This window comes from Homo sapiens, chromosome 12, assembly GCF_000001405.40.
Source record: "Homo sapiens chromosome 12, GRCh38.p14 Primary Assembly".
Taxonomy (NCBI): Eukaryota; Metazoa; Chordata; class Mammalia; order Primates; family Hominidae; genus Homo; species Homo sapiens.
The window spans coordinates 51,228,045-51,238,604 of NC_000012.12; the positions used below are offsets into that span (position 1 = coordinate 51,228,045).

Below are 10,560 nucleotides of genomic sequence, written 5' to 3' on the forward strand. Positions count from 1 at the left end.
TGGTATATAATGTTGGGCAAATTAGCCTCTTTAAGCCATCATTTCCTTATTTGTAAAATGGGGCTAATGCCTACTCTTGAGATTTTTGTGTTAAGTGAGATAATGTATATAAAATCCAGGTGTCAGCATTTTCCTCCATTTTAAGGGTTACTTTTCTTGAGTATATTTGAAGAAGTGGGATGGGAGGCAAGGTTTGTCTCATGCCTTTCCCTCAAGTCTTCTGCTTGACACTGACTTCCATTCTGCCTTGGGCCACTCACTTGCCTGCAGGTCACAGCCTAGAACTCCTGGTGTGGTTCCTCTACATGAAAGGCCCCTAGATTCACAGTGGGACACAGGTGTGAATTCTTTGCATCATGACTGCACAAGGTTGTTCTTTACTAAAGTGTTGGGGGGACAACTAAAGGGAATTACAATAGTGGAAAGTATTAAAACTTTGTGGGTTTTTGTTTTTGTTTTTTGAGACAGTCTCACTCTGTCGCCCAGGCTGGAGTGCAGTGGTGCAATCTCGGCTCACTGCAACCTCCAACTCCCAGGTTCAAGCAGTTCTCGTGCCTCAGGCTCCCGAGTAGCTGGGATTACAGGCTTGCGCCACCACACCCGGCTAATTTTTCTGTTTTTAGTAGAGACGGGGTTTCGCCGTGTTTTGTTTTGAGACAGGGTCTTGCTCTGTCACCTGGGCTGGAGTGCAGTGGCATGACTGCGGCTCACTGCAGCCTTGACCTCTTAGGCTCAAGCGACCCTCTTGCCTCAGCCTCTCAAGTAGCTGGGACCACAGGTGCCCACCACCATGCCCAGCTAAACTTTGGTTTTAACTTTCCCTATAATCTAAGTGAAAAGCCGCCAAGAAGTTTAACCTTTATTACGGAGTGTCAGGTCTACCCTGGCTCCCTGTCCTCAGGTCTGCTTCCCTCGCTAGGAACATCTTCAACCCTCCATTCCTTCCTGGGAAGCCCCAGGCCCTGCCTCTCTCTGGTCCCTCAGCTGTCCCCAGAAACACATTTCCCCAAATCTGACCCATTCAGTCCATATTCAGTCTAGATTCTGGATTTAAGGCTAGAGGGGTGAGAGTGAGTCAGTGACTGTGTATGTGTGTATGTGCGTGGGGCCCGGTGCAACAGGGAGAAGGTGGCACAGCAGCCTTGTGTGAATGAGCTTTGGCATATAGTCCCTCCAAGTAGGACTGTCTCGGGGAGGCTGGTATTCCCTCCAGTCTGAGTAAGACACAGATGAAGCTCTGCTCTTCTGAGTACCCTGGATAACCTTTGGTCTCGAACTACTGGCCTTAAGCAATCCTCCTGCCCCGGCCTCCTAAAATGTTGACATTACAGAGCCACTGTGCTTGGCCTTTTTTTTTTTTTACTTTTTTTAATTTTTAATTTTTTTAGAGTCAGGGTCTCACTTGTCACCCAGGCTGGAGTGCAGTCATGCGATTATAGCTCACTGCAGCCTTGCACTCCTGAGTTCATGCAATCCTTACCTCAGCCACCCTAGTAGCTGGGACTACAGGCCTGTGCCACCATGCTTGGCTAACTGTTTTACATTTATTATGCAGAGCAGTGTTAGTGACTCTCCTACAAGGCTTGCCAGGAATAAGAAATGAGGGTACTTTTTTTTTTTTTTTTTTGAGATGTATTCTCACTCTGTTGCACAGTCTGGAGTGCACTGGCATGGCATGATCTCTGCTCACTGCAACCTCCGCCTCCCAGGTTCAAGTGATTCTCATGCCTCAGCCTCCCAAATAGCTGGGATTACAGGTGCATGGCACCACACCCGGCTACTTTTTGTATTTTTGGTAGAGGCGGGGTTTCACCATGTTGGCCAGGCTGGTCTCAAACTCCTGACCTCAAGTGATCTGCCCGCCTCAGCCTCCCAAAGTGCTGGGATTACAGGCGTGAGCCACTGTGCCTGGGCCTAAGCCATATATCTTATAATAGCTGTTCCCTTAGTTACACAAAGACTAGATAAAGCTTTGAAAAAGTTGCTTCAAAGAGGCCGGGTACAGTGGCTCACATCTGTAATCCCAGCACTTTGGGAGGCCAAGGTGGGCGGATCACTTGAGGCCAGGAGTTAAAGACCAGTCTGGCCAACATGGTGAACCCCATCTCTGCTAAAAATACAAAAATTAGCCGGGTGTGGTGGGACGCACCTGTAATCCCAGCTACTCGGGAGGCTGAGGCAGGAGAATCGCTTGAACCCAGGAGGTGGAGGTTGCAGTGAGCCAAGATCGCACCACTGCACTCCAGCCTGGGTGACAGAGTGAGACTCCATCTCAAAAAAAAAAAAAAAAAAAAAGTTGCTTCTAAGAGAGATTGGATTCTTTCACAAAGCTCCAACTCCTTTGGGCTAGGAAATAGGTTGTTTTGTTCTTCTGGTTACATAAGTGAAGAGCACAACACATAGTAGGTGTTGAATAAAGGTACATAAACAACTATAGTCAACCTAATTAACCGGGACTAGGATAAGCTTGTCCAACCCTCGGCTTGCAGACCACATGTGGCCCAGGATGGCTTTGAATGCGGCCCAACACAAACTCGTAAACTTAAAACATTATGAGATTTTTTGGTGATTTTTTTGGTTTTGTTTTTAGCTCATCAACTACCATTAGTGTTAGTGTATTTTATGTGTGGCCCAAGACAATTCTTACAGTGTGGCTCAGGGAAGCCAAAAGATTGGACACCCCTGGACTAGGGGGCCCAGCAGGAAGAGTCACTATCATTCTGTGAGTCCTCACATCACAGCTTACCCATCTCCAATGTGGCACTTACCAAGTGCTGCTGTAATTTTCCTTTTAGCATCCATCTTGCCCAAGGCACATTAAGATTCATTAGCTGTCGACTGGGCACAGTGGCTCACACCTGTAATCGCAGCACTTTGGGAGGCTGAGGCAGGCTAATCCCTTAGCCCAGGAGTTTGAGGCCAGCCTAAGCAACACGGCGACACCCCATCTCTACAAAAAATACAAAAATTAGCTGGGCATAGTGGCACGCGCCTGTAATCCCAGCTACTCAGGAGGCTAAGGCAGGAGGATGGCCTGAGCTTCTGAGAGCAAGGCTGCAATGAACCATGATCGTGTCACTGCATTCTAGCCTGGGTGACAGAGTGAGACCCTGTCTCAAAAAAAAAAAATGAAAACAAAAAAATTAAAGCTCGGGCACAGTGGCTCACACCTGTAATCCCAAAAATGTGGGAGACCAAGGTGGGCTGATCACTTGAGGTCAGGAGTTGAGACCAGCCTGACCAACATGGTGAAACCCTGTCTCTACTAAAATTACAAAAATTAACCAGTGTCGTGGTGGGACCTGTAGTCCCAGCTACTTGGGAGGCTAAGGCAGGAGAATCACTTGAACCTGGGAGGTGGAGGTTGCAGCGGGCAGAGATCATGTCACTGCACTCCAGCATGGGTGACAAAGCAAGACTCCCTCTCAAAAAACAAACAAAAAAATTCATTAGCCATCATGCTTGGGTTTTCCTCATCCCAACATTATTATTTTAAAAAAACAGCCTTATTGAGGTATTGTTAGTTGACATAAATTGCTCATGTTTAAAATATACACCCGGCCGGCCGGGCGCAGTGGCTCACGCCAGTAATCCCAGCACTCTGGGAGACTGAGGTGGGCAGATCACGAGATCAGGAGATCGAGACCATCCTGGCTAACACCGTGAAACCCCGTCTCTAATAAAAAATACAAAAAATTAGCCGGGCGTGGTGGCGGGCGCCTGTAGTTCCAGCTACTCGGGAGGCGGAGGCGGGAGAATGGCACGAACCCAGGAGGTGGAGGTTGCAGTAAGCTGAGATCGCACCACTGCACTCTAGCCTGGGCGACAGAGCGAGACTCCATCTCAAATAAATAAATGAACAAAATAAAATAAAATATACACCCAGCTGGGCGCGGTGGCTCACATCTGTAATCCCAGCACTTTGGGAGGCTGAGGCAGGCAGATCACCTGAGGTCAGGAGTTCCAGAGCAGCCTGGTCAACATGGTGAAGCCCCACCTCTACTAAAAATACAAAAATTAGCCAGGCATGGTGTCGGGCACCTGTAATCCCAGCTACTCAGGAGGCTGAGGCAGGCAGAAGAATCGCTTGAATCCGGGAGGTGGAGGTTGCATTGAGCCGAGATTGCGCCACTGTACTCCAGCCTGGGCAACAAAGCGAGACTCTATCTCAAAAAAAAAAAAAAAGGCACACCCATGAAACCATCACCACAATCAAGGCAATGAGTATATATTCATCAGTCCCAGAACTTTCCTACATTCCATTTACAACCTCCTTCCTTCCCCTTCTGCTTCCCTTCACAGCAACCATTGATCTGCTTTTTATCACTATAGTTTGTATTCCTAGAATTGTATATAAATGGAATCCAACGGGCACAGTGACACATGCCTGTAGTTCCAGCTACTTGAGAGGCTGAGGTGGGAGGATTCCTTCAGCCCAGTTCAAGGCTGCAATGAACTATGACCACGCCTATGCACTCCAGCCTGGGCAATATAACAAGACCCTATATCTAAAAAAAAAAAAAAAATTCTATAGTATGTATTCTTATTTTAAAAATCTGCTTCCTTTACTGAGCATAGATTATCCATGTTGTTTTGTGGATCCATACTTTATTCCTTTCTACTGTATGGCATTAAATTTGTTTATCCATTTACCTGTTGGTAGACACTTTCATTGCTTCTGATTTTTGGATATGACAAATAAAGCTGTTATAAATATCCATGTATAAGTCCTTGTGTACCCATGTGTTTTCTTTTCTCTTGGGTAAATACCTAGGAGTGGAATGGCTAGATCATGTGGTGTATGGATGTTTAACTTCTAAAGACCCTGCCAAACTGTTTTCCAAAGTGGTTGCACCATTTTGTTCTTTCTTATTATGACCAGCAGTTTGCCCTGACAGAGGTTGCACCATTTAAGATTTTAACCAGAGTGTGTGAGAATTCCACTTCCTCCACATCCTCTCCAACACTTGATGTGGTCAGTCTTCTTTTACTTATTTTTATTTTTTAAAATTTAAACAGAGATGGGGTCTCACCATGTTGCCCAGGCTAGTCTTGAACTCCTGAGCTCAAGTGATCCTCCCAAAGTGCTGGGATTACAGGTGTGAGCCACTGCACCCTGTCCAGTCTTAATATTAGCCATTGTAATAGGGAAGCCAACATTGTTTTAATTTTTTGACTAGGTAAGCATTCACATGGTTCAATGTTTTTGTTTGTTTGTTTTGGAGCATCATCCAGGCTGTAGTGCAGTGGCTTGATCTCGGCTCATTGCAACCTCCATCTTCCAGATTCAAGCGATTCTTCTGCCTCAGGCTCCCAAGTAGCTGGGATTACAGGCGTGTGCCACCACACCTGGCTAATTTTTGTATTTTTAGTAGAGACGAGGTTTCGCCATTTTGGCTAGGCTGGTCTCGAACTCCTGACCTCAGGTGATCTGCCTGCCTTGGCCTCCCAAAGTGCTGGGATTACAGGCGTGAGCCACTGCGCCCAGCCTCATTTTTTTTTTTTTTGAGACAGGATCTTGCTATGTCATTCAGGCGGGAGCCCAGTGGTGCCATTATCTTCACTGCAGCCTCGAACTCTTGGACTCAAGTGATCCTCCCACCTCAGCCTTCCAAGTAGTTGGGACTATAGGTATGTGCCACCACACCAGGCTAATTGATTTACTTTTGTGTGTGTGGAGATGGGGTGTCATTATGTTGCCCAGGCTGGTCTCGAACTCCTGGCCTCAAGTGATCCTCCTGCCTTGGCCTCTCAAAGTGCTCGGATTATAGGTTCAAATATTTTTAAACGTCTAAAAAGTATATAGTAAAAAGTCACTTCCACCTTTGTCTCACATCCTCCACTCCCTCTCCCCCTTATGTAACCACTTTTATAGGTATTTTGTGTATCCTTCCAGAATTTCTTTACTCAAATTCTGATGAATATTCTTGGTTTCCCTGCTCTTTGACATAAAAAGTATCATATTGGCCAGGTGCGGTGGCTCACGCCTGTAATCCCAGCACTTTGGGAGGGCGAGGCGGGTGGATCTCTCGAGGCCAGGAGTTCGAGACCAGCCTGGCCAACATGGCAAAACCCCGCCTGTACTGGAAATACAAAAACTAGCCAGGCATGGTGGTGCACACCTGTAATCCCAGCTACTTGGGAGGCTCAGGCACAAGAATTACTTGAACCTGGGAGGCAGAGGTTGCAGTGAACCGAGATCACGCCACTGCATTCCAGCCTGCGTGACAAGAGTGCAACTCTGTCTCAAAATAAAATAAAAAATAAAATAAATAAAATGTATCACACTAAGTATATGGTTTTGAATCTTTCCCTTTTTTATTTAAAGAACACCTTGGAGTACTTTCTCATTCTCTGTTGCAGCCACATAGTATTTTATTGTATGGATGTATCAAGATTTATTTTTTCTGTTTCCTATTGATAGAAATATGGGTTATTTCTAATCTTTTGCTGTTACAGAAAAGCTGCAATGAATAGCCTTATACATACGTTTCTCGTGAGTGCAAATATATCTGTAGAATCACTCCCATTAGTGGGAATGGTATGTTTGCAAGTTTGATGGATATTGCCAAATTAACCTTATAGGATTTGTACCAATTTTCACCCCCATCACCAACAAATTAGAATGCCTGCTTATCCACAGCCCTGCAAATAATGTTAGCAAATGTTTGGATTTTCGCCAATCTGATAATGATATCGGTGGGGTTTAATCTGCCTTCTGATTACGACCCAGGCTGAACATCATTTCATGTGTTAGGGAGTCATTTGTTTTTCCTTTTCTGTGAACTGTCTGTCTGTAAATGTCATTTGCCATTTTTTTCTAATGGTTGATCATATTCTTACTGATGTCTAAGAGTTCTTTACATGCAGGAAGATTAGCTCTTTGTGATGTAAATTACAAATATATTTTTCCAATTTGTCATTTGACTATATGGAGTTTTGACTTTGTAGAAATTTTGTCCTGACATTAGTCCTGGAACTAGTCCAGTTGTTTCTGCTTCCTGGATATTTCTGGAATCCCCCCATTTCTCTCTACTGTACTGCCTCTTCCCTAGGCCAGTCTGCCATCATCACACCTAAATGACTAAATTTGATTCTAAATGGTATCTCAGACATACGTCCACTCTTGCCCTTTCTTTAACCTATTCTATATTCTTTAGCAACCAGAGGGATTTTTCCTTTTCTTTTCTTTATTTTTTTGAGATAGCCTCTATCACCGAGGCTGGCAGAGTACAGTGGTGTGACCACGACTCACTGCAGCCTCGACCTCCCGGGCTCAAGCAGTCCTCCTATCTCAACCCCTCGAGTAGCTGGGATCACAGGTGCGTGCCTCTATGCCTGGATACTTTTTTAGAAATTTCTTGCCGAGATGGGGTTTCACCACGTTGCACAGGCTGGTCTTGAACTCTTGGGCTCAAAGAATCCTCCTGCCTTGGACTCCCAAATTGTTGGGAATGCAGGCATGAGCCACTGTGCCTGGCCCAGAAGCATTTTTCTAAAAGAAAAACACAAGCCAGGAGCAGTGGATCACGCCTGTAATCCCAAGTTTGGGAGGCCGAGGCAGGAGGATTGCTTGAGGCCAGGAGTTCTAGACTACTCTAGGCAACAAAGTGAGACTCTGTCTCTATAAAAAATTTAAAATTAGCCAGGCATGGTGGCAAGCACCCACTGTCCCAGCTACTCGGGAGGCTGAGGTGAGAGGATGAACTGAGACCAGGAGTTCAACGTTGCCGTGAGCTGTGACTGCACCACTGCACTCCAGCTTGGGTGACAGAGCAAGACCCTGTCCCAATCAATCAATCAATCAAACAAAAACAAGATCATATCACTTTCCTGCTTAACATTCTTCAGTGGCTAACTAGTGCCCTTAACATAGAATCCAGTATCTTCATGTGGGATCTTACATGGGCTCTAAGGCGTCCCTGCAAGGTCTGGCTCACAGTTCTTCAGCGTCAATTTTTTTTTTTTTTTTTTTGAGACAGAATCTTGCTCTGTCACCCAGGCTGGAGTGCAATGGCACGATCGCGGCTCACTGCAACCTCCGCCTCCCAGGTTCATGCAATTCTCCTGCCTCAGCCTCCCAAGTAGCTGGGATTACAGGCACGCACCACCATGCCCAGCTAATTTTTGTGTTTTTAGTAGAGACGAGGTTTCCCCATGTTGGCCAGGCTGGTCTCGAACTCCTGACCTCAAGTCATTTGCCCGCCTTGGCCTCCCAAAGTGCTGGGATTACAGGCATGAGCCACCGCACCCGGATCTTCAGGGTCATCTTTTATCAGTCCCCTTACCAGTATGCTCTGGCTACACTGAACTCTTTCATGCCCTCCCCCTCTATAAGCCTTCTCACCTCTAGGCCTTTGCATAAGCAGTTCCCTCTTCCAGGAACCCTCTTCACTTGCTTAACCTGCTCTCACCCTTCAGATTTCATCTCAGACATCACTTGCATCAGGAAACCTTCCCTGACTACATCAGAATAGAGTAGGTGCCTCACCTATGTGTTCTCCTCACACTCCATGCTGTCTTTATGTCAGCACTAATCATATTATGTGTTCACTTTTCTGTCTCTCCCATTAGGTAGACCATAAATTCCATGAGAGTATGGACTATGCCTGTCTCTTCATTATTATTTCCCTAGTGCCTGTCACAGGGCCTGGCACATAATAGGTGCTCAAAAAATATTTGTTAAATTAATGTAAGAAAGAATGTTTGATAAATGACCAAATAAACATCTTCATCTCATTGGGGAATCTACGAGAATGAAGAAAATGCCAAAGTTTGATCCTGTTCAAGAAAGTAGCTAATTACTACTACTTTTTTTTGTAGAGATGAAGTCTCACTATGCTGCCTAGGCTGGTTCTGAACTCCTGGCTCAAGCGATCCTCCTGCCTAGGCTGCCCAAAGTGTTGGGATTACAGGTGTGAGCTGTTGCACCCAGCCACCATTTACTTCTTAATTCCACCTGCCAGAGAAAGCACTGGCCTGCAACTCTTTCATTTTTGTTAGTAATCTCATTTGGCTCTGCCCTGGTTTTCCCAATGCCCAGGTCCCACTGTGACAAGCAAAATACCCAACAACCTGTAAAGTAGGCCTGACCAATCTGAGGGCAGTTTACATGAGCAGGAGGTAGGCCCAGGAGAGTTCCTGGGTCCTAAGAGTTAACCCTTTAATCATTGGACAATGGAGGTGGCAAGATCGCTTGAGGCTGGAAATTCAAGACCAGCCTGGCCAACACAGGGAGACCCCATCTCTGTATTAAAAAATGAATAGCACGTGCCTGTAATCCCAGCTAGTCGGGAGGCTGAGGCAGGAGAATCGCTTAGAACCCTGGAGGCGGAGGTTGCAGTGAGCTGAGATTGCGCCACTGCACTCCAGCCTGGCGACAGACCAAGCCTCTGTCTCAAAAATAAATAAATAAATAAATAAATAAATAAATAAATAAATAAATAAATAAAAATAAGGCTCGGCGCAGTGGCTTATGCCTGTAATCCCAGAACCTTGGGAGGCCGAGGCAGGTGGATCACCTGAGGTCAGGAGTTCGAGACCAGCCTGGCCAACATGGTGAAACCCCGTCTCTACTAAAAAATACAAAATTTGCCGGTCGTGGTGGCGGGCACCTGTAATCCCAGCTATTCGGGAGGCTGAGGCAGGAGAATTGCTTGAACCCAGGAGGCGGAGGTTGCAGTGAACCGAGATCATGCCACTGCACTCCAGCCTGGGCGACAGAGCAAGACTCCATCTCAAAAAAAAAAAAAAAAAAAAAAAGAAAAGAAAAAATTAAAACTTTTTTTAGAAAGAAAGAAAACCAGCCTGGCCAACATAGTGAAACCCCGTCTCTACTAAAAATACAAAAATTAGCCAGGAATGGTGGCGCACGCCTGTAGGCCCAGCTACTCAGGAAGCTGAGGCAGGAGAATTGCCTGAACCCGGGAGGTGGAGGCTGTGGTGAGATCGCCCCACTGCACTCTAGCCTGGGCAAGCGAGCAAGACTCCGTCTCAAAAAAAAAAGAAAAAGAAAAGAAAACACTTAATCGCTGCCCTAAAGGATGCCATCTTTGCCCTTAAGGATAATTAGGTTAGAAAGAGAAGCCATACATAGAGAAAAATAGAGGTACCATACAGGTCACCTGCAACAGGTGCTAAAAAAAGGAAAGGGCCACAAACACTCCATGGGTAGTGCAGTTATGTCAGTTTCAGTGCCAGGTGTTGCGTACAGCACGGAAAACATAACCCCTTCCTGTACGTGAGAAAGGCAACGACTGTCCTGGGGAAGACAGGGCAGCGAAGATTCCAGTGCAGGTCTCATTCAGGAAAGGATACATGTGAGCTGGAGTGGCAAAATAAATTTTAACAGAGCTGAAGCTTAAGTTGGGCTTGGTGGGGAGGGACGCATGATAAACTAAGGTGTGGGGAGCCGATTTCAGGCAGTGCGACAAATTTGCAGAAATCTAAGCCCCTCGTGGAAGGTTGCCAAGGTGAGGTGACCTTGAGTGAATGCGTGTAGGTGGAAAAAGGTTCCGGGGAATGCTTGCATCGTTCTGCATCCGAGCGTCCAACAGAGAA

The 10,560-nt window shown here is 46.1% G+C and overlaps 1 annotated feature.

Annotated features, from left to right (window-relative positions):
* Positions 9,832 to 10,469: an enhancer, noted in NCBI's record as "NANOG-H3K27ac-H3K4me1 hESC enhancer chr12:51631660-51632297 (GRCh37/hg19 assembly coordinates)". NCBI's record gives its function as "activates a minimal SCP1, AML or CMV promoter by ChIP-STARR-seq in naive H9 embryonic stem cells {active_cell/tissue: H9 hESC(naive)}" and the evidence as "EXISTENCE:reporter gene assay evidence [ECO:0000049][PMID:30033119]".